The sequence below is a fragment of the Homo sapiens genome, chromosome 19, assembly GCF_000001405.40.
Source record: "Homo sapiens chromosome 19, GRCh38.p14 Primary Assembly".
In the NCBI taxonomy this organism is placed as follows: domain Eukaryota; kingdom Metazoa; phylum Chordata; class Mammalia; order Primates; family Hominidae; genus Homo; species Homo sapiens.
In genome coordinates this window covers 49,713,787-49,737,582 of record NC_000019.10, presented here as the reverse complement: position 1 = coordinate 49,737,582, position 23,796 = coordinate 49,713,787, and the positions used below count along the sequence as shown (strand labels likewise).

The following is a 23,796-nucleotide window of genomic DNA, read 5'->3' as shown; positions in this document are numbered from 1 at the left end:
AAGAATTTAAAGTCTAGATTATATTCACATTTTGGGGTTTGAGGAGGGAGAGATAAACTGAAGTAATATAATACATGAAGATGATAAACAATGTCAATTATATTAATCATTAAATGTAAATTAACAAGACTTCACCAGTTAAAAGACAAAGTTTGACAACATGGATTAAAACATATACACACTAAATCCAGATCAATGCTGTTTTATAACAAACACACTGGCCGGGGGCGGTGGCTCATGCCTGTAATCCCAGCAATTTGGGAGGCTGAGGCAGGCGGTTCACCTGATGTCAGAAGTTCAAGACCAACCTGGCCAACATGGTAAAACCCAGTCTCTACTAAAAATACAAAAATTAGCTGGGAGTGGTGGCGCATGCCTGTAATCTCAGCTACTTGGGAGGCTGAGGCAGGAGAATTGCTTGAACCCATGAGGCAGAGGTTGCCGTGAGCCGAGGTTGCGCCGTTGCACTCCAACCTGGGTGACACAGTGGGACTCTGTCTCAAACACAAAACAAAACAAAAAAAAACAAAGAAAGACAGAAAGAAACACACTTAAAACAACAAAAGAATTCAAAGTTAAAAGACTGTAAACAAGTCCCCTGGAATGCAGGGAAAGCCGGGTGTGGTGGCTCACACCTTATCCCAGCACTTTGGGAGGCCGAGGCGGGAGGATTGCTTGAGCCCGGGAGTTCAAGACCAGCCTGTGCATCATAGTGACCCCTGTCTCTGCTAAAAATAATAAAAAAAAAATTAGCTTACCGTGGTAGCACGTGCCTATAGTCCCAGATACTAGGGAGGCTGAGGTGTGAGGATGGCTTGAGTCTGGGTGGTCAAGGCTGCAGTGAGCTGTGATCGCGCCCCTGCACTCCAGCCTGGGTGACAGAGCAAGACCCCGTCTCAAAAGCAAAAATTAAAACAATTTAAATTTCCACATATATGAGGATTTTAAATTCCTCTTTTTGACATTAACTAGAGATCTAATTGCATAGTGATCAGAAACATTGATCTGTATGATACCTGTTCATTGAATTTATCGGGGCTTTCTTTTGGTTTAGTACAGATCAATTTTTATAAGTGTGCTTGAGAAAAAAATGTGTGTGCTTCAATTGTTGAATGGAGAGCACTCTATGGATCTATTGATTGATCCATCCATCCATCCATCCATCCACTTATTTATACTCCTCCCTAGTTCATTTCTCAATGAAAAGAATGTTCCTGTGTACTCCCGGGGGTATATACAGGAGGAGAGACAAATGATTGCACATAACAAGTCTATTCCAGAGTTGCTACCTCCCAAATCCTTTAGATTATTTTATTTATTATTTATTTATTTATTTATTATTTTTGAGACAGTCTCACTCTGTCACCCAGGCTGGAGTGCAGTGGCATGATCTCAGCTCACTGCAACCTGCAACCTCCACCTTCCAGGTTCAGGAGATTCTCCTGCCTCAGCCTCCTGAGTAGCTAGGATTACAGATGCGCACCACCATGCCCGGCTAATTTTTATATTTTTAGTAGAGACAGGGTTTCGCCATGTTGGCCAGGCTGGTCTCAAACTCCTGAGCTCAGCTGATCCGCCTGCCTCAGCCTCCCAAAGTGGTGGGATTACAGGCCTGAGCCACCCCCCCGGCCACTTTATCTTCTCTTCTTGACATTCTACCAGGGAGGTTCTGGGATATTAACCTACTTAAATGTAGGCCATCACTGAACCCAAGTTTTGGTCCATTATTATTAGAGCTACTTACAGCTGCTCAAGCTAGCACATTAAATTCAGAATTAATACATTAATTCATTCCCATCAAACTTGACATTCCATCCTCCCTGGTCCAACACTGTTAGAATCTGTTGCTACACATACACCCAGGTTTTCGAGCTCTTTGGAAATACACAGCATCTCCATCTCCTTCTGGAGCTGAGATTAAAGTCCTGAGCTCATCATTTTCTTTATGTCATCTTCCCAGTGTGACAGAAATAGCTGTTCTGTTCCACAGCCCTCATCGCTCCCACTATATTGGTCAAGGTCAGCAGTTAGTTGATTTTCTAAAGTCTTTAAAAACAGGGTTTTTTTTGGCCGGGCACGGTGGCTCACGCCTGTAATCCCAGCACTTTGGGAGGCTGAGGCGGGCAGATCACGAGGTCAGATCAACACCATCCTGGCCAACATGGTGAAACCCCATCTCTACTGAAATACAAAAAATTAGCCAGGCGTGGTGGCACGTGCCTATAGTCCCAGCTACTAGAGAGGCTGCGGCAGGGGAATCGTTTGAACCCGGAAGGCGGAGGTTGCAGTGAGCCTAGATTACGCCATTGCACTCTAGGCTGGCAACAGATCGAGACCCCCTCTCAAAAACAAACAAACAACAACAACAACAACAGAAGGTTTTTTTTTTAGAGACAGAATTTCATTCTGTCACACAGGCTGGAGGGCAATGCCACAGCTCCCTGCAGCCTTGAACTCCAGGGCTCAAGTAATCCCCTAGCTTCAGACTCCCAATGGCTGGGACTACAGGTGTGCCCTCTATGCCTGGCTAAAGCCTTTTGTTTTTGTTTGTTTGTTGGTTTGTTTTTTTGAGACGGAATTTCTCTCTTGTTGCCCAGGCTGGAGTGCAATGGCGCCATCTTGGCTCACCACAACCCTGCCTCCCTGGTTCAAGTGCTTCTCCTGCCTCAGCCTCCTGAGTAGCTGGGATTACAGGCATGTGCCACCACGCCTGGCTAATTTCGTATTTTTAGTAGAGACAGGGTTTCTCCATGTTGGTCAGGCTGGCCTCGAACTCCCAACCTCAGGTGATCCGCCCACCTTGGCCTCCCAAAGTGCTTGGATTACAGGCGTGAGCCACCGCACCCAGCCAAGGCTTTTGATTTGTTTACTGGAACCTCATTGCAAACAACCAAAGATAATAAATAATGAATGATGGCACTACATGCAATAACTGTCATCCCGTTTTCCACCTCCCAGGATATCATCACATCATTAAACAGCTCATCAAAGAGCAAAGAGGTGAATAACCTAATCCCAGAATCCCGTCTTCAGCATCTTTTTTTTTTTTTTTTTAGACGGAGTTTTACTCTGTCACCCAGGCTGGAGTGCAGTGGCGCGATCTCAGCTCACTGCAACCTCTGCTTCCCAGGTCTGAGCAATTCTCCTGCCTCAGCCTCCCGAGTAGCTGGGACTACAGGCGCCCGCCACCATGCCTAGCTGATTTCTGTATTTTTAATAGAGACAGCGTTTCGCCATGTTGGCCAAGCTGGTCTCAAACTCCTGACCTCAGGTGCAGTTGGCCTCCCAAAGTGCTGGGATTACAGGTGTGAGCCACCGCGCTCAGTCTAGCATCTGTTTTCTGAGACCACTGGTAGAGGGAAAAGCAACTTCATCTTGGATGCTCATCTGCCATGTTGGCATCTGACTCACCCCAGCTCTGGGAAGGGCCCTAAGATTTCCAGTTTAGGCTGGGCATGGTGGCTCACACCTGTAATCCCAGCACTTTGGGAGGCCAAGGCGGGTGGATCACGAGTTCAGGAGATCGAGACCATCTTGGCTAACACAGTGAAACCCCGTCCCTACTAAAAATACAAAACATTAGCCAGGTATGGTGACAGGCGCCTGTAATCCCAGCTACTCGGGAGACTGAGGCAGGAGAACGGCATGAACCCAGGAGGTGGAACTTGCAATGAGCTGAGATCGCGCGCGCCACTGCACTCCAGCCTGACAGGTGTGAGCCACCGCTCCCGGCCAATCACCTTTTCTTTATGGTCTATAAGCTTTAGGTCTGGGGGGGTAACAGTGCAGGGATCTGCTGTCTTTTTTTTTTTTTTTTTTTTTTATAGAGTCTCATTCTGTCGCCCAGGCTGGAGTGCAATGGCACGATCTTGTCTCACTGCAACCTCCACCTCCCAGGCTCAAGCGATTCTTCTGCCTCAGCCTTCTGAGTAACTAGGACTACAGGAGCGCACCACCACGCCCGGCTAATTTTTTGTATTTTTAGTAGAGACGGGGTTTCGCCATGTTGGTCAGGCTGGTCTCAAACTCCTGACTCAGTGATCCATCCGCCTTGGCCTCCCAAAGTGCTGGGATTACAGGCGTGAGCCACTGTGTCCAGCCTTCTGTGTTTGTTTGTTTGAGACAAGGTCTGGTTCTCTTGCCCAGGCTGGAGTGTAGTGGCACAAAGATGACTCACTGCAGCCTCAACCTCCTGGGCTCAACTGATTCGTCCACCTCAGCCTCCCGAGTAGTTGGGACCACAGGTGCATGCCACCATGCCTGGCTAATTTTTTTATCTTTTGTAGAGACAAGGTCTCACCATGTTGCCCAGGCTGTTTTCAAACTCCTAGGCTCAAGTGATCCACTGGCCTTAGCCTCCCAAAGTGCTAGGATTATAGGCATGAGCCATTGTCCCTGGTCCAGCTTCTGTTCTTAAGTCCCTATTAAATGTTTATTTCTAAGAAACTAGGTTGGGCGTGGTGGTTCACACCTGCAATCCCAGCACTTTGGGAGGCTGAGGCAGGTGGATCACCTGAGGTCAAGAGCTGGAGACCAGCCTGACCAACATGGCAAAACCCCGTCTCTACTAAAAATGCAAAAATTAGCTAGGCGTGGTGGTGCATGCCTATAGTCCCAGTACTTTGGGAGGCCGAGGTGGGCAGATCACTTGAGGCTAGGAGTTCAAGACTAGCCTGGACAACATGGAGAAACACCGTCTCTACTAAAAAAACAAAAATTAGCTGGGAGTGGTGGTGCACACCTGTAACCCAGCTACTCTGGAGGCTGAGGCAGGAGAATCGCTTGAACCTGGGAGGCAGAAGTTGCAGTGAGCCAAGATCACACCACTGCACTCCAGCCTGGGTGACAGAGTAAGACTCTGTCTCAAAAAACTAAAACTAAAAATTAATTACTTCAGGCCAGGCGCGGTGGCTCATGCCTGTAATCCCAGCACTTTGGGAGGCCGAGGTGGGCGGATCACCTAAGGTCAGGAGTTTGAGACTAGCCTGGCCAATGTGGTGAAACCCCATCCCTACTAAAAATGCAAAAAATTAGCTGGGCGTGGTGGCGGGCGCCTGTAATCCCAGCTACTCGGGAGGCTGAGGCAGGAGAATCACTTGAACCGAGGAGGTGGAGATTGCAGTGAGCTGAGATCCCACCACTGCACTCCAGCCTGGGCGACAGAGCAAGACTCTGTCTCAAAAAAAAAAAAAAAAAAATTAATTACTTCAGTCCGATCAAACCTTACATTCCATCCTCCCTGGTCCAAAACCCTTAGAATCCATTGCTACACATACCCACAGGTTTGCGAGCTCTTTGGAATAACTCCTTCTGGAGCTGAGAGTTTAAAGTCCTGAGCTCATCTTAGAGCGACAGCGAGTGAGAGAACAACCTAGGTTTCAGAGCACTCCAAAATTCAGAAGCCTAAAATCAAATAAGTGATGGAACTCACGGTGGAAAACGAAAAGGAATAACCAGTGAGTAGGAGGAGAATCAAAATAAGATGATGTGGCCGGGCACGGTGGCTCACGCCTGTAATCCCAGCACTGTGGGAGGCCGAGGCGGGCGGATCACCTGAGGTCGGGAGTTGGAGACCAGCCTGGCCAGCATGGTGAAACCCCGTCTCTACTAAAAATACAAAAATTAGCCAGGCGTGGTGGGTGGCACCACTACTACCCCGCTACTCGGGAGGCTGAGGCAGGATAATTGCTTGAACCTGGGAGCAGAGATTACAGTGGGCCAAGATTGCACAATCGCACTCCAGCCTGGGTGACAAGAGTGAAACTCCATCTCAAAAATAAAATAAAATAAAATAAGACGATGTCCTTGAAGGCAGTGAAAAAATGTACCGATGAGAAGGGAGCAATCAATTCCAAATGCTTCTGTTGGTCAGCTACGATGAGAACCGGGAAACTGATTATAGCATTGAGCAACAAAAGTATTTTCACTGGAGTGATGGTTGAAGGAGACTGAAGGAATGACTTTTTTGAGATGGGGTCTTGCTCTGTCAACCAGGTTGGAGTGAAGTGGCTTGAACATAGCTCATCGCAGTCTCGACCCCCTGGGTTCAAGCAATCCTCCCACCTCAGCCTCCTGAGGTCCTGGGACAACAGGCACATGCCACCATGCCTGGGTGATTTTTTTTTTTTTTTTTTTTTTGAGACGGAGTCTTGCTCTGTCACCCAGGCTGGAGTGCAGTGGTGCAATCTCGGCCCACTGCAAGCTCTGCCTCCCAGGTTCACGCCATTCTCCTGCCTCAGCCTCTGGAGTAGCTGGGACTACAGGCGCCTGCCACCACGCCCGGCTAATTTTTTTTTTTTTTTTTTTGTATTTTTAGTAGAGACAGGGTTTCACCATGTTCGCCAGGATGGTCTCGATCTCCTGACCTCGTGATCCTCCCACCTCAGCCTCCAAAAGTGCTGGGATTACAGGTGCGAGCCACTGCACCCAGCCTCAAGTTTCAAAGTCCCACTCATTTTCAACTGATGCCCAAACCTTCATATTAGAAACTTGTGCTGGGTGCGGTGGCTCACGCCTGTAATCCCAGCACTTTGGGAGGCCGAGGCGGGTGGATCACGAGGTCAGGAAATTGAGACCATCCTGACTAACACAATGAAACCCCATCTGTACTAAAAATACAAAAAATTAGCTGGGCTTGGCGGCAGGCACCTGTAGTCCCAGCTACTCGGGAGGCTGAAACAGGAGAATGGCGTGAACCCAGGAGGCAGAGCTTGTAGTGAGCCGAGATGGCTCCACTGCACTCTAGCATGGGCGACAGAGTGAGACTCTGTCTCAAAAATAAATAAATAAAATAAAATAAAATAAAAATTAGCTGGGCATGGTGGTGCATGCCTGTGGTCCCACCTACTCAGGAGGCTGAGGTGGGAGGATTGCTTGAGCCCAGGAGCTCGAGGCTGCAATGAGCTATGATCACACCACTCTCCTTCAGCCTGGGCGCCAGAGTAAGACCCTGTCTCAAAAAATAATAATAGATAAATAAATGAATAAACAATTTTCCAAAACCTACCTTTGGAAAGCTCCTTCCTATTACAAATATCTGTGTCAGTCAGGGTATATTCAGGAGACAGAAATCACACTGGTTATTTTAACAGAGATGATCGAATATAAATAAATTTAGGTATTAAAGGATTGGTAACTAGGAAACTGAAAAGGCAAAAAGAGGACCCTGTGGTATTGTGGTGGCAGTAACTACAGGAAACAGCATTATATTGGTCCTGCTGTCACAGGACGCACCCCAAAATTGGGGTTCAGTCTGGGAGGCCAAGTGGGTTCTTGGCTTCACAGAGGAAAGAATTCAAGAGCAACATGAGTTGAAGACCAGCCCGTGCAACATAGTGAGGCTCTGTCTATACTAAAAATAATTTTAGCTCAGGCGCGGTAGCTTACCCTGTAATCTCAACACTTTGGGAGGCCAAGGCTGGCGGATCACTTGAGGTCAGGAGTTCGAGACCAGCCTGACCAACATAGTGAAATCTTGTCTCTACTAACAATACAAAAATTAGCTGGGCATGGAGGCACGCACCTGTAATCCCAGCTACTTGGGAGACTGAGGCTGGAGAATCGCTTGAGCCCAGGAGGCAGAGGTTGCAGTGAACCAAGATCGTGCCATTGCACTCCAGCCTGGGCAACTCTGTCTCAAAAAAATAAATAAATGAAAATAAAAATAATTTTAAAAATTGGCCAAGTGGACATGGTGGTGCCTACTTGTAGTCCCAGCTACTTGGGAGGCTGAGGCCGGAGGGTTGTTTGAGTCTGGGAGGTTGAGGCTATCGTGAGCCATGATGGTACCACTGCAGTCTAGTCTGGGTAACAGAGTGAGACCCTGTCTAGAAAAAAAATAATACATTGAAGAGCAAGTGGATTCAGTAAAGTGAAAGCAAGATTATTAAGGAAGTAAAGGAATAGCCAGGCGTGGTGGCTCATGCCTGTAATCCCAGCACTTTGGGAGGTGTAGGCGGGCGGATCACCTGAGGTCAGGAGTTCGAGACCAGCCTGACCAAAATGATTAAACCCTATCTCTACTAAAAATACAAAAATTAGCCAGGCGTGGTGGCATGTGCCTGTAATCCCAGCTACTTGGGAGGCTGAGAGAGGAGGCTCTCTTGAAACCGGGAGGCAGAAGTTGCAGTGAGCGGAGATCACGCCATTGCACTCCAGCCTGGGCAACAAAAGTGAAACTCCGTCTCAAAAAAAAAAAAGAAAGTAAAGGAAAAAAGGGGCTGGGTGCAGTGTCTCACCCCTGTAATCCCAGCACTTTGGAGGCCAAGGCAGGTGGATCACTTGAGGCCAGGAGTTCAAGACCAGCCTGGCCAACATGGTGAAACCCCATTTCTACTAAAAAATACAAAAATTGGCCGGGCGCTGTGGCTCACGCCTGTAATCCCCATCTCTACTAAAAATACAAAATTAGCTGGGCGTGGTGGCGCATGCCTGTAATCCCAGCTACTTGGGAGGCTGAGGCAGGAGAATCTCTTGAACCCGGTAGGCGGAGGTTGCGGTGAGCCAAGATGGTGCCACTGCACTCCAGCCTGGGCAACAAGAGTGGAACTCCGTCTCAAAACAACAACAACAACAAAAAACAAAACAAATACAAAAATTAGCCGGGTGTGGTAGCGTGTGCCTGTAGTCCCAGCTACTCAGGAGGCTAAGGCACAAGAAATGCTTGAACCTGGGAGGTGGAGTTTCCAATGAGCCGAGAATATGTCTCTACTCCAGCAGCCTGGGCGACAGAGGGAGACCCTGTCTCCAGAAAAAAAAAAAAAAAAACGGAGTGAATCAAAGAGTGGCTACCCCACAGGTAGAGTAGTCCTAAGGGCTATTGGTTGGCTGTTTTGATATATTTTTATGGTTATAGTTATTTTTTGATTATATGCTAAATAAGGGGTGGATTATACATGAGTTTTCTGGGTAAGGAACAGGGAGCTCCCAGAACCCGAATTTTCTCCCCCATCCAGATGATACTGAGTAACTTCTCAGCATGGCCGTGGCATTTGCAAACTGTCATGGCGCGGGTGGAAGTGTTTTTGGCATGCAAATGCATTCTAATTAGTGTATAATGAGCAGTGAGGGTAGCCAGAGGTCGCTTTCATCCTGTCTTGGTTCCAGCTGGTTTTGGCCAGTTTCTTTTACTGTCTCCTGTGTTATCAGCAGGGTCGTGTCACATGTTGTCTTGGAAGTTAGTCCTGCCAAATTCCTACTTTATTCCCTGCTCAAACATTATATAGGCCTCCTTAATCTTTTTTTCTTTTTTCTTTTCTTTTTTTTTTGAGACAGAGTTTCGCTCTTGTTGCCCAGGCTGGGGTGCAATGGCACGATCTCGGCTCACCGCAACCTCCGCCTCCCGAGTAGCTGGGATTACAGGTACCCGCCATCATGCCCAGCTAATTTTTGTATTTTTAGTAGAGATGGGGTTTCACCATTTTGGCCAGGCTGGTCTTGAACTCCTGACCTCAGGTTATCCACCCGCCTTGGCCTCCCAAAGTGCTGGGATTACAGGCGTGAGCCACCGAGCCAAGCCCTCCCCACCCTAATCTTATTATGTAAATGAACTCTCCCCATGGCCAGAGCCCTCTTGTCTGCTCGTTAACTGTACACGTGGCTGGCAGAGAAGGGAAGATGGAGCCACCATATTGAACATGTCTAGTCCCTAGTTCCTTGTTCCCGCCAGGCCGGCGTTCACCCAGGCAAGCTCCCAGCTTGCATGCCTATCTCTGCAGCTCAACTTTACAAGCCGCTCTTCATTAGAAAATGATTCGGGGCTGCTTTTCATTAAAAAGGAAAGCCTTACCAAGGACTCCCTTGCCCTATCAGTCTAAGTGATTTCGTCTTAACTCCTACATCACCTTGACCTTGATCCTCTTCATGGGCGGGAACTGGAGTGGCTTTTTTGGCTCAGCCTGCTGCTGGTGACTCCTCATGAGAGGGAGCGTGGGAGCAAGCGAGTGCAGGAACTGAAGGGAACAAACGCTGGAGCCGGCCAGTCACTCCTCTCTGGTGGGAGCAGGCTCTGTGCGGGAGCGTCCAAGCCCCTGCCCTCTCAGCATCCGGGTTCTTGACTGGTGTCCAGGAAGAATTAGGTCACACGAACAGATTGTAGGGTAGTGTATGGGGAGGATTTTATTGGGTGATGGAAGTGGCTCTCAGTGGAATGGAGGCCAGGGGAGGGTGTGGGAAGAAGGTGATCTTTCCCTGAAGCTGCGCCATCTGAAGTTAGCCGTGTCTATCCGTAGTCTTTGATGCTCAGCCATCAGCCGCTTGTGTTGCTCTGCCAGCGGCAGTCTTTTTGTGGGCACAGGATAGAGGTGTGGCAGGCCAAAAAGGCAACATTTGGATGGAAAAATGGGGTCAGCTGTTTTCACTTAGGGCGGCGGTTCCAGGCTTAAGGATAGGGTTTAGCCGGGACCCCAGCTGTTCTGTACCAGTCTGAGTATGATGAAGGTAGCCAGGTAGTTGTTTGTATATCTTGTTGATATTTTTCTCCATTTGATCTGAGGTGTTTATATAGGTACAGCAGGTTTTATTAATTACAGTTGTTCCACTGACCATACTAATTACTAATGTTCCATTAGACCATGGATAGACTAATGCTAATCTGTTACCCATTACTACATCTGTTACAGAATCAAGGGACAGTCTCAATTTATCTAAACTGTCCTGTAGTCTATGAGACAGCAGTGTACAGAGTAAAGAAGTACAGTTTTTTTTTTTTTGTTTTTTTTTTTTTTTGAAACAGAGTCTCGCTCTGTCGCCCAGGCTGGAGTGCAGTGGTGTGACCTCGGCTCACTGCAAGCTCCGCCTCCCGGGTTCACACTGTTCTCCTGCCTCAGCCTCCCGAGTAGCTGGGACTACAGACGCCCACCACCACACCTGGCTAATTTTTTATATTTTTAGTAGAGACGGGGTTTCACCATGTTAGTCAGGACGGTCTCGATCTCCTGATTTCATGATCCACCTGCCTTGGCCTCCCAAAGTGCTGGGAATACAGGTGTGAACCACCGTGCCTGGCTAAGTGAAGAAGTAAAGTTTTGAAGAGTTGCCTCATGATGGGCAAATCCTCCCCATGGGGCCAACAAGTTGATGGCAGCCCCAACTTCAGCCAAGATAAGGCCAACTGCCTGCTTAGCACTTGGGTGAGTGATGTCATGTAACTGTATATTAGAGGGCTTTGCCTGTCCTGTTATACATTGACCCCTGAAACAAATGTTATCAATACACTGTTAACCATGGGTTTTATGATTTCAAATGAAAGAAAAGTTATTTGGAGGCTGACTGAATGGGTATCTGATATGGTTTGGCTCTGTGTCCCCACCCAAATCTCATCTCAAATTGTAATGCCCGTAATCCGCACACGTCGAGGTAGGATCCAGGCGGGAGGTGATTGGATCATGGTGGTGGTTTTCCCCACACTGTTCTCGTGGTAGTGAGTGAGTTCTCATGAGATCTGATGGTTTTATGAGGCAGTTGTTCCTGCGCTTGCCCCTCTGTCTCTCTTGCCACCACGTGAGACGTGCCTGCTTTCCCTTCCTCCATGATTGTAAGTTTCCTGAGGCCTTCCCAGCCATGCAGAATTGTGAGTCAATTAAAACTCTTTTCTTTATAAATTACCCAGTCTCAGCTATGTCTTTATAGCAGTGTGACAACGGACTACTACAGCGTCCATATAGCCAAAGGTATCCATTGGGAGCACAAACCCATGTGGGAGGGGAGTTAAGAAGGTTGAGCATCTCTGTTATCTAAGTGACGCTTTGGTTTAAGCATGAATGGGATAAGAATTTGGGGGGAGGCCAGGGACAGTGGCTCACGCCTATAATCCCAACACTTTGGGAGGCTGAGGTGGGCAGATCACTTGAGGTCAGGAGTTTGAGACCAGCCTGGCCAACATGGCGAAACCTCATTTCTACTAAATATACAAAAATTAGCTGGGTGTGGTGGCGGGTGCCTGTAATCCCAGCTACTCAGGAGGCTGAGGCAGGAGAATTATTTAAACCCAGGAGGTGGAGGTTGCAGTGAGCCAAGATCTCTCCACTGCACTCCAGCCTGGGCAACAGAGTGATACTCCATCTCAAAAAAAAAAGAGAAAAAAAGAATTTGACTGGAAAGTGGTAATTTAAAATAATACCATTATTATGAGAGGCAGCTATGGGAGTAGAGAAGGGCATAATTGTCTACAGAGGGACTAAGACCCTCCAGGGAGACAAGAAGAAATGTATTTGATGGTACCATCAGGGCAAAAATGTGTGGCATTTACTTGACAGGTAGTGTTAAAAGATCCTGCCCTGGCCAGGCGCGGTGGCTCACGCCTGTAATCCCAGCACTTTGGGAGGCCGAGGCGGGCGGATCACCTGAGATCAAGAGTTCAAGACCAGCCTGGCCAGCATGGTGAAACCCCCATCTCTACTGAAAATACAAAAAAATTAGCCAGGCATGGTGGCAGGTGCCTGTAATCCCAGCTACTTGGGAGGCTGAGGCAGGAGAATCGCTTGAACCTGGGAGGCAGAGGTTGCAGTGAGCCGAGATCACGCATTGCACTCCAGCCTGGGCAACAAGAGCGATACTTTGTTAAAAAAAAAACAACAACAACAAAAAAAAACTTGCCCTATAAATGGCATTGAATAAGTGGTACAAAGTAGATACCATTGCCTGTAGGAGAGATGGCATGGGTATTATTATAGTACTGAGGCCAGGCCAGGTGGGTAACATTGCAGGAAAACAGTTTTAAAGGGACAGCCGTCTAGTTGGGAAGTTTCCTATGGGAGCAGGCGAGGTCTAATAAATAATTCGAATAGAGAGTGTTTCCTAAAGCAATGTCTAAGACGGCGAGGAAAAGAAACATCATTGTTGGCCGGGCATGGTGGCCCACCCCCATAATCCCAGCACTCTGGGAGGCTGAGGCAGGCGGATCACCTGAGGTCAGGAGCTTGAGACCAGCCTGGGCAACCTGTTGAAACCCCGTGTTTACTAAAAATACAAGAAATTAGATGGTCATGGTGGCAGGCACCTGTAATCCCAGCTACTCTGGAGGCTGAGGCAAGAGAATCACTTGAATCTGGGAGGTGGAGGTTGCAGTGAGCTGAGACCGTCCCACTGCACTCCAGCCTGGGCGACAGAGCAACACTCTGTCTCAAAAAAAAAAAAAAAAGGTGATACCAGTGGGCTGTGAGAGGTCCCCAAATGCCAGGCTCTTGACATCATCACGAGAAGTAAGGAATTCAAGGATGAGTCAGAAGATAGTGAAAGTAAGGAGACTTATTGCAAAGCAAAAAGTACACAAGAAAAAGGCATGTGGGCAGGCTCAAGAGAGAGTGACACAATGGGGTTAGGGCTACTACCTTTTCCTCTTTTTTTATTTTTTATTTATTTATTTATTTATTTTTTTTTTTGAGACAGAGTCTCGCTCTGTCCCCCAGGCTGGTGTGCAGTGGAGCGATCTCTGCTCACTGCAAACTCCGCCTCCCGGGTTCATGCCATTCTCCTGCCTCAGCCTCCCGATTAGCTGGGACTACAGGTGCCCTCCACCACGCCCGGCTAATTATTTTTTATTTTTTTTTTTTTGTATTTTTAGTAGAGACGGGTTTTCACCTTGTTAGTCAAGATGGTCTCAATCTCCTGACCCTGTGATCCACCTGCCTTGGCCTCTCAAAGTGCTGGGATTACAGGTGTGAGCCATTGCGCCCAGCCTATTTAGTTTTTTTGAGATGAAGTCTTGCTCTGTCACCCAGGCTGGAGTGCAGTGGCGCCATCTCTGCCCACTGCAACCTCTTCCTCCCAGGTTCCAGCGATTCTCCTACCTCATCCTCCCAAGTAGATGGGACTACAGGCATTCACCACCACACCCAGCTAATTTTTGTATTTTTAGTAGAGACGGGCTTTCACCATGTTGACCAGGCTTGTTGGGGTGATCAGACCCAACACCAGGTCGTGGGGGCTACGAAGTCCGGCGGAATCAAAGGAATGAGACAAAACAAGTTAAGAGTACATAGGATGGGTCCAGGGGGCCAACGCTGGTGTATGGAGGCTGCAAAGGCCCCGAGCTCTGGGAGCCCACACTATTTATTGGTAATCAAACAAAGAAGCAGGTGGTGAGGACGTGCGGACATGGGGGTAGAAAGGTAGTGGTGCACCAAGCGTAGCTATGACGGTTTAGCGTATGCTCTGCTAGTTGAGATAAAGGAGAACAGGTTCTTTTCACTCAAGACACAACCAGTTTATGATCTTGGGAGAGCAAGGAGCAAGGGGCCAGCGAGTCTGGACACATTCCAGAGGCTATGAGGGGTTTTATGCCCAGAGCCCTGGATTCTTTACAAGCCACGAGGGGTTTTATGTCCTGGGCTTAGATTGCAGTGTGGCAGGGCAGCCTTCCACCCTTAGGCACAGAGCTTGGTGTTCCATAGGCCACGAGGGGTTTGAGACCCTGGACCCAGGACATGTTCCAGACTCTTTTACATTATGTCAGACAAGCAAGCCCTGCCTCAGCTCTTCTTCCAAGTCCTGACCTGAGGTGATCCACCCACTTCAGCCTCCCAAAATGCTCCAAGTCCTGACCTGAGGTGATCCACCCACTTCAGCCTCCCAAAATGCTAGGATTATAGGCGTGAGCCACCACACCTGGCCCTAACACTCTGTACTTCTAAAACTTTGTTACTGGCCAGGGACAGTGGCTCATGCCCGTAATCCCAGCACTTTGGGAGGCCAAGGCAGGCGGATCACTAGAGTTCAGCAGTTTGAGACCAGCCTGGTCAACATGGTGAAACCCCATCTCTACTAAAAATTTAAAAGTTAGCCGGGAGTGGTGTCAGGCACCTGTAATCTCAGCTACTTGGGAGGCTGAGGCAGGAGAACTGCTTAAACCCAGGAGGTGGAGGATGCAGTGAGCCGAGATTGTGCCACTGCACTCCAGCCTGGGCGACAGAGCAAGACTGTCTCAAAAAAAAAAAAAAAAAAAAAAGGATGAAAAAGAGGTTTAATAGACTTACAGTTCCACATAGCTGGGGAGGCCTCACAATCATGGCAGAATGCAAAAGGCACGTCTTACATGGTGGCAGGCAAGAGAGAATGAGAGCCAAGCACAAGCGGAAACTCCTTATAAAACCATCTGATCTCATGAGACTTATTCACTACCGGAACAGTATGGGGGAAACTTCCCCCATGATTCAAGTATCTCCCACTGGGTTCCTCCCACGACATGGGGGAATTATGGGAGCTACAATTCAATATGAGATTTGGGCAGGGACACAGCCAAAACCAGATCAGGGGCCAATCTGGGGTTGCATTCCCTCCTCCCAATAAATGGCATGGCTTTGATTGCAAGTGGCCATTCCATTTGTGGTTTCATGGGGAGTGCCTAGAATCCTCTGTTTTTCCTCTACTGTAGAGCAGGTAGACAATAATATCCATTAGTCATGCCAAGTCAGGTCACAGGACATGGCCAACTTAACAAACTCTTCAATAAATTACTGGATTCTCCAAAAACTGGCCAAACTTATCCTTACATAAAGCCAAATCAGACTCAGAAAGAGGCGCACGTCCTCTATTTTATCGATTGATTGATATTTTTTGAGACAGTCTCTATCACCCAGCTGGAGTGCAGTAACATGATCTCAGCTCACTGCAACCTCTGCCTCCTGGGCTCAAGCAATTCTCCTGCCTCAGCCTCCCAAGTAGCTGGGACTAAAGGCATGACACCATACTAAGCTAATTTTTTGTATTTTTAGTAGAGACGGGGTTTTACTATGCTGTCCAGGCTGGTCTCAAACTCCTAACTTTGTGATCCACCCACCTCGGCCTCCCAAACTGCTGGAATTACAGGTATGACCGCCACACCTGGCCGCAAAGAACTATTTTTAGGCTAAAATTTCTGGTTTTCCAGTTTGTAATGACCTAGGCAGTATTCCAACCAAAAATAAATTTCTGGCCAGGTGCAGTGGCTCACGCCTGTAATCCCAGCTACTCGGGAGACTGAGGCACAAGAATCATTTGGGCTTGGGAAGAGGAGGTTGCAGTGAGCCGAGATTGCACCACTGCACTCCAGCCTGGGCGACAGAGTGAAACTCGGTCTCAAACAGGCTGGGCACGGTGGCTCACACCTGTAATCCCAGCACTTTGGGAGGCCAAGGCAGGTAGATCACGAGGTCAGGAGTTCAAGACCAGCCTGGCCAATATGGTGAAACCCCGTCTCTACTAAAAATATAAAAAATTAGGCCGGGCGCGGTGGCTCACGCCTGTAATCCCAGCACTTTGGGAGGCCGAGGCGGGCGGATCACGAGGTCAGGAGATCGAGACCATCCCGGCTAAAACGGTGAAACCCCGTCTCTACTAAAAATACAAAAAATTAGCCGGGCATAGTGGCGGGCGCCTGTAGTCCCAGCTACTTGGGAGGCTGAGGCAGGAGAATGGCGTGAACCCGGGAGGCGGAGCTTGCAGTGAGCCGAGATCCCGCCACTGCACTCCAGCCTGGGTGACAGAGCAAGACTCCGTCTCAAAAAAAAAAAAAAATAAAAATAAAAATAAAAAAAAAATTAGCTGGGTGTGGTGGTGCAGGCCTGTAGTCCCAACTACTTGGGAGACTGAGGCAGGAGAATCGCTTGAAATTGGGAGGCGGAAGTTTCAGTGAGCCATTGCACCACTGCACTCCAGCCTGGGCGACAGAGTGAGACTCCGTACAACAAAAAAAACAAATTTGAGTCTGGCTACCAGTACAACCACGCAACCTGAATCCAGGGCACCAAATACCAAAAGACCTGGGGCCTCCAGATATCAGTCACCAAGGGTCCCCACACCAAATGCCGAAAACCCTGGAGCATCCTGAGGGTGGCCAACAGTGAACCCCAAAGGCACAACTGAGGCTATGGAACAATGTGACTCCGGCATCCCAGAGTCAGAACAAAGGGGTTCCTCTCCAAAATAAAGAATTCAAAACAAGGAAAGTGCCCTACCTGATACAGAATAGCAAAAATTGCTCAAATAGCCAGAAGAAATGCTACCAGTCCAACAGTGAAATAAGCGTCATAAGCATGCATTTTGGCACTAAGAGCAGAAAAGTAAAATACGAGAAAAGGCCTGAGACAGGTGACAAGGCAGGTTATAAAGGGTGTGGCTGGGCTGGGTGTGGTGGCTCACACCTGTAATCCCAGCACTTTGGGAGGCCGAGGCGGGCGGATCACGAGGTCAGGAGATCGAGACCATCCTGGCTAACACGGTGAAACCCTATCTCTATTAAAAATACAAAAAATTAGCCGGGCATGATGGTGGGCGCCTGTAGTCCCAGCTACTTGGGAGGCTGAGACAGGAGAATCGCTTGAACCCGGGAGGCGGAGGTTGCAGTGAGCCGAGATCGCGCCAGTGCATTCCAGCCTGGGCGACAGAGCGAGACTGTCTCAAAAAAAAAAAAAAAGAAAAAAGAAAAAAAAAAAAAAAAGAAAAGGAAAAAAGAAAAGAAAAAGAAAGGAGCTCTTTCTCAGTGAACGGGTCCTGCACTCAGGCGCAGACGGGGAAGCGGAGCCAACATGCCAGTGGCCCGGAGCTGGGTTTGTCACAAAACTTATGTGACCCCGCGGAGACCCTTCGAGAAATCTCGTCTCGACCAAGAGCTGAAGCTGATCGGCGAGTATGGGTTCCGGAACAAACGTGAGGTCTAGAGGGTCAAATTTACCTTGGCCAACATCCGCAAGGCCGCCCGGGAACTGCTGACGCTTGATGAGAAGGACCCACGGCGTCTGTTTGAAGGCAACGTCCTGCTGCGGCGGCTGCTCCGCATTGGGGTGCTGGATGAGGGCAAGACGAAGCTGGATTACATCCTGGGCCTGAAGATAGAGGATTTCTTAGAGAGACGCCTACAGACCCAGGTCTTCAAGCTGGGCTTGGCCAAGTCCATCCACCACGCTGGCGTACTGATCCGCCAGCGCCGTGTCAGGGTCCGCAATCAGGTGGCGAACATCCCGTCCTTCATTGTCCGCCTGGATTCCCAGAAGCGCATCGACTTGTCTCTGCGCTCTCCCTATGGGGTGGCCGCCCCGGCCGCGTGAAGAGGAAGAACGCCAAGAAGGGCCAGGGTGAGGGTGGGGCTGGAGACGACGAGGAGGAGGATTAAGTCCACCTGTCCCTCCTGGGCTGCTGGATTGTCTCGTTTTCCTGCCAAATAAACAGGATCAGCACTTTACAATTGGAAAAAAAAAGAAAGAAAGGAAAGTAAGAGTAGCAACCTCATAGGCAGAGTAGCTCTGAGGATCGTTGGTTGGTTATTTTAATGGTTAGTTGTTGAATATATGCTAAATAAAAGGTGAATTACACATGGGTTTTCTAGATAAGAGGCAGGGAGTTCCCAGAACCTGGGCTTTCACCCCGTCCAGACCACACAGGGTAACTTTTCAGCATGGCCATGGCATTTGTAAACTGTCATGGTGCTGGTGGCAGTGTTTTTAGCATGTTAATGCATTACAATTAGCATATAATGAGCAGTGAAAGTAACCAGACGTCACTTCCTTTTTAGTTGTTGTTGTTTTTTGAGATGGAGTTTGGCTCTTGTTGCCCAGGCTGGAGTGCAATGGCGCGATCTTGGCTCACCACAACCTCTGCCTCCCGGGTTCAAGAAATTCTCCTGCCTCAGCCTCCCAGGTAGCTGGGATTACAGGCAGGCACCACCACGCCGGGCTAATTTTGTATTTTGAGTAGAGACAGGGTTTCTCCGTGTTGGTCAGGCTGGTCTCGAACTCCTGACCTCAGGTAATTCACCCGCCTCGGCCTCCCTAGGTGCAGGGATTACAGGCATGAGGCACCGGGCCCGGCCCCAGAGGTCCCTTTCATTGTCCTCTTGGTTCTAGCTGGTTTTAGCCAGTTTCTTTTGCTGTTTTCTGTCTTATGAGTGAGGTCTTGTGTCCTGTTGTCTTGGAAACCAGTCTTGCCAAATTCCTATCTCACTAGGGTATGAAAAACAAAGACAAAGGTTAGAGTTATTAAAAACTATACATTTGGATCAGGAGCCAGTGGACATAAAACTGAGCCTCTGGGCTGGGCCCAGTGGCTCACGCCTGTAATTCCAGCACTTTGGGAGGCCAAGGCGGGTGGATCACCTGAGGTTGGGAGTTCAAGACCAGCATGGCCAACACGGGGAAAACCTGTCTCTACTAAAAATACAAAAATTAGCTGGGCGTGGTTACGCACGTCTGCAATCCATTACTCGGGAGGCTGAGGCAAGAGAATCACTTGAACCCGCGAGATGGAGTTTGCAGTGAGCCAAGATCACGCCATTGCACTCCAGCCTGGGCTACAGAGTGAGACTCTGTCTCAAAAAAAAAAAAAAACTGAGGCTCTGAAGAGGAGGCACTGCTCAGATGGTGCTGGTGTTTCTGAGCTCAGAGGAGGATCACTAGAGACTGGAATTTTCTTTCTTTTTTTTTTTTTTTTGAGACGGAGTCTCGCTCTGTCACCCAGTCTAGAGTGCAGTGGCGTGATCTTGGCTCATTACAAGCTCAGCCTCCCGGGTTCATGCCATTGCCCTGCCTCAGCCTCCCGAGTAGCTGGGACTACAGGTGCCCGCCACTATGCCCGGCTTATTTTTTGTATTTTTAGTAGGGACAGGATTTCACCGTGTTAGCCAGGATGGCCTCGATCTTCTGACCTCGTGATTGACCCGCCTCAGCCTCCCAAAGAGCTGGAATTACAGGCGTGAGCTACCGCACCCGGCCCGAGACTGGAATTTTCTCAGGCAGGGGTGCTGGTCTGGCATCCCCAAATGGTCTGGCATCTCTGAGGATGTGCAAGTTTGGAAAAACTGCAAATTGGATTTAGCTGCTGCTACAGGAAAGAACTGCCTTGGACAGGGTGAAGAAGCTTTGCTGACGCAGATGAGAACAGGAAACCAACGGGAAGTAAGCAGAGAGCAAACAGGAAGGAGCAAGAACCCTTTTCCTCCTTCAGGCTCTACGGTCAGTCTGGCACCCCCTATTGGCAGAGGCTAACACACCACTTGGCAAAGTGAAAGTGGGGTTTTCAGAGTCCCATTCCCAGTTACCCAAAGCCCAGTGCTGGGAAATAGATTTGAAGCCAAGAGATAATAGCTTAAGAAGTGGTACACATAATAATAGTATGTGCCAAGGACCAGCAATTATGATTAATCCAATTCTGTACCCCTGAGGACCAAATATATTTTTGAAAGACTACTTGCAAAAAAAAAAAGTCGTGGCCGGGCGCGGTGGCTCACGCCTGTAATCCCAGCACTTTAGGAGGCTGAGGCGGGTGGATCACGAGGTCAGGAGATCGAGACCATCCTGGCTAACATGGTGAAACCCCGTCTCTACTAAAAATACAAAAAAATTAGCCGGGTGTAGTGGCGGGCGCCTGTAGTCCCAGCTACTCGGGAGGCTGAGGCAGGAGAATGGCGTGAACCCGGGAGGCGGAGCTTGCAGTGAGCCGAGATTGCGCCAGGCAGTATTCCAACCAAAAATAAATTTCTTGGTCAGGTGCAGTGGCTCACGCCTGTAATCCCAGCTACTCGGGAGACTGAGGCACAAGAATCATTTGGGCCTGGGAAGAGGAGGTTGCAGTGAGCCGAGATTGCACCACTGCACTCCAGCCTGGGTGACAGAGTGAAACTCGGTCTCAAACAGGCGGGGCACGGTGGCTCAAGCCTGTAATCCCAGCACTTTGGGAGGCCGAGGCGGGCAGATCACATGAGGTCAGGAGTTCTAGACCAGCCCGACCAACATGGAGAAACCCCGTCTCTACTAAAAATACAAAATTAACCGGGCATGGTGGTGCCTGCCTGTAATCCTAGCTAACTTGAGAGGCTGAGGCAGGAAAATCTCTTGAACCGGGGTAGGTGGAGCTTGTGGTGAGCCGAGACTGTGCAATTGCACTCCAGCCTGGGCAACGAGAACAAAACTCCGTCTCAAAAAAATAAATAAAAATAAAAGCAAATTTCAAAAAAGAATATGAGGGTTGAGGCTGAGGTGTTTGCAGTTTGTATTCTTTATTCCTGTGTAAAAAAAAAAGTTACCCCAAAGTATAGCAACTTGAATTAACAAACATTTATTATCTCACATAGTTGTTAAAAGTCAGGAAATCAAAAGTAGCTTAGCTAAGGTGGTTCTGGCTCCGTGTCCCTCATGAAGTTGTGGTTAAGCTGTCAGCCGGGTGACAGTCATCTGAAGGCTTGACTGGGACTGGAGGATCTGCTTCCAAGATGGCTCACTCATGTGTGCCTCACTGGCTGTTGGCAGGAGGTCTCAGTTCTTTACCACGTGGGCCTCTTCATGGGCAGCTTGAGTGTCCTCATGACATGGTGGCTGGCTTCCCCCAGAGCAAGTGATTGAGAAACAGAGCAAGAAGGAAGCCACAATGTCTTGTGTTGTTTTGTTTTGTTTTTTGTTTTGTTTTGAGACACAGCCTTGTTCTGTTGCCAGGCTGGAATGCACTGGTGCAATCTCAGCTCACTGCAACCTCCGCATCCCGGGTTCAAGCGATTCTCCTGCCTCAGCCTCCTGAGTAGCTGGGACTACAGGCACATGCCACCACACCCAGCTAATTTTTGCATTTTTAGTAGATACAGGGTTTCACCATGTTGGTCAGGATGGTCTCGATCTCTTGACTTCGTGATCAGCTCGCCTCAGCCTCCTAAAGTGCTGGGATTACAGGTGTGAGCCACCATGCCCGGCCAAAAGAAAGCCACAATGTCTTTTGTGACCTAATCACTATTTTTTTTTTTTTTTTGAGACGGGGTTTCACTCTTGTTGCCCAGGCTGGAGTGCAATGGCGCGATCCCGGCTCACCACAACCTCTGCCTCCCGGGTTCAAGCAGTTCTCCTGCCTCAGCCTCCTGAGTAGCTGGGATTACAGGCATGCACCACCATGCCCAGCTAATTTTGTATTTTTAGTAGAGATGTGGTTTCTCCATGTTGGTCAGACTGATCTCAAACTCCTGACCTCAGGTGATCCACCCGCCTCCGCCTCCCAAAGTGCTGGAATTACAGGCATGAGCCACCGTGCCCAGCCCCCACTTGTGGACATTTTTTAAACCATCACAGAGTTGGCAGTCTGGCTGGGGTGGTTGGGCTGGTAGAGGTTGAGCCATTTAGAATTTTGATTTTGTTGTTGGGTTGTATTATTGTTTGACTCAGAAGCAGTGAGGGTTAGATTGATGGCGCGTTGGAACCGTGGTATTGGTGGGGTGGGTGATTGGGTTTGGTGTTGATGGCTGTAGTTGGGCTGGTGGAGATTGTAATGGTGGGGGTGGTGGAGCACAGTGAAGGTGTGCTCGGGGATGATGGTGTTTAAAGTCATCACTGGCCGGGCGCGGTGGCTCACGCCTGTAATCCCAGCACTTTGGGAGGCCGAGGCAGGCGGATCACGAGGTCAGGAGATCGAGACCATCCTGACTAACACAGTGAAACCCCGTCTCTACTGAAAATACAAAAAAATTAGCTGGGCGTGGTGGCGGGCACCTGTAGTCCCAGCTACTCGGGAGGCTGAGGTAGGAGAATGGCATGAACCCGGAAGGCAGAGCTTGCAGTGAGCTGAGATCACGCCGCTGCACTCCAGCCTGGGCGACGGAGCAAGACTCCGTCTTAAAATATAAATAAATAAATAAATAAAAATAAAGTCATCACTATGGGTCAAGGTAAAGTGTGGGTTATGGTGGAAATGAGAAGGGATATTTGGTGGGGATGGTGGAGCTTGGAGTTGGACGTTGTGTTGGTTGTGTGGTTCGAACTGTAGTTGAGTTGTTGTGTATAGTGGGGTGTGGCATCATGGAGTTGCTGATTGCTGGAATGATGGCAGCGTTAGGGTGGTGTGCACTGGGCAGTGCATTTCCTAGTTATGGGAGCTGAATCCGTCATTGAGGAAGAGGTTGAAATGGCTGGAGTAGGCCAGGCACAGTGGCTCATGCCCATAATCCCAGCACTTTGGGAGGCCAAGGTGGGTGGATCATTTGAGGTCAGGAGTTCGAGACCAGCCTGACCAACATGATGAAACCCCAAAACCCGTCTCCACTAAAAATACAAAAAAAAATTAGCCGGTCATGGTGGCGGATGCCTGTAGTCCCAGCTACTCGGGAGGCTGAGGCAGGAGAATTGCTTGAACCCAGGAGGCAGAGATTGCAGTGAGCCAAGATTGCACCACTGCACTCCAGCCTGGGTGACAGAACAAGACTCTCTCTCAAAAAAAGAAAAAGAAAAAGAAATGGCTGGAGTTGGGGTTGGGTAATAAAAATTTTCGTGGGTTCGTTTGGGGATTGTCAATTGGGGTGGCTGGATCTTTAGGTTTGGAGATGGATTTTTTTTTTTTTTTTGAGACAGAGTCTTGCTGTGTCCCCCAGGCTGGGGTGCAATGGCACGATTTCTTCTCACTGCAAGCTCCGCCTCCCGGGTTCATGCCATTCTCCTGCCTCAGCCTCCCGAGTAGCTGGGACTACAGGTGCTCGCCACCATGCCCGGCTAATTTTTTTGTATTTTTAATAGAGACGGGGTTTCACAGTGTTCGCCAGGAAGGTCTTGATCTCCTGACCTCATGATCCGCCCACCTTGGCCTCCCAAAGTTCTGGGATTACAGACATGAGCCACCGCGCCCGGCCTGGAGATGGATTTGAGGTGGACAGTGGTGTTGGGGCAGCAGGAATTAGGCTCAGGAGAACTTGTGAGGTTGTGTTTGATTGGCACTGGCCTTGGAGGGTTGGGTTTGGTATGAGTGAAGCTGGAAATGAAGTACACTGGGCAGGTGTTGCGGGCTGTGGTTGAAGCTGTGACTGCAACTGGGAATCCCTGGCTGGGCCTGGGAATGGATGGGAGCTTCTGTCCTCCTCCACCC

General features: G+C 49.0%; 1 pseudogene, besides 5 other annotated features; it reads left to right on the top strand.

Moving 5' to 3' along the window:
• Positions 3,629-3,804: a silencer, noted in NCBI's record as "fragment chr19:50237036-50237211 (GRCh37/hg19 assembly coordinates)". NCBI's record gives its function as "represses an EF-1alpha promoter that drives an FKBP-Casp9 reporter gene in an ReSE screen in phorbol 12-myristate 13-acetate-treated (for megakaryocytic differentiation) K562 erythroleukemia cells {active_cell/tissue: K562(+PMA)}" and the evidence as "EXISTENCE:reporter gene assay evidence [ECO:0000049][PMID:32094911]".
• Positions 9,517-10,017: an enhancer, noted in NCBI's record as "H3K4me1 hESC enhancer chr19:50230823-50231323 (GRCh37/hg19 assembly coordinates)". NCBI's record gives its function as "activates a minimal SCP1, AML or CMV promoter by ChIP-STARR-seq in primed H9 embryonic stem cells {active_cell/tissue: H9 hESC(primed)}" and the evidence as "EXISTENCE:reporter gene assay evidence [ECO:0000049][PMID:30033119]".
• Positions 10,018-10,518: an enhancer, noted in NCBI's record as "H3K4me1 hESC enhancer chr19:50230322-50230822 (GRCh37/hg19 assembly coordinates)". NCBI's record gives its function as "activates a minimal SCP1, AML or CMV promoter by ChIP-STARR-seq in primed H9 embryonic stem cells {active_cell/tissue: H9 hESC(primed)}" and the evidence as "EXISTENCE:reporter gene assay evidence [ECO:0000049][PMID:30033119]".
• Positions 15,723-16,223: an enhancer, noted in NCBI's record as "H3K4me1 hESC enhancer chr19:50224617-50225117 (GRCh37/hg19 assembly coordinates)". NCBI's record gives its function as "activates a minimal SCP1, AML or CMV promoter by ChIP-STARR-seq in primed H9 embryonic stem cells {active_cell/tissue: H9 hESC(primed)}" and the evidence as "EXISTENCE:reporter gene assay evidence [ECO:0000049][PMID:30033119]".
• RPS9P4 (ribosomal protein S9 pseudogene 4) lies at positions 17,446-18,157 on the top strand (annotated as a pseudogene).
• Positions 19,630-20,165: a transcriptional cis regulatory region, noted in NCBI's record as "candidate enhancer chr19.5489 targeted for multiplex CRISPR interference". NCBI's record gives its function as "positively regulates TBC1D17 gene expression with high confidence in K562 cells {active_cell/tissue: K562}" and the evidence as "EXISTENCE:mutant phenotype evidence [ECO:0000015][PMID:30612741]".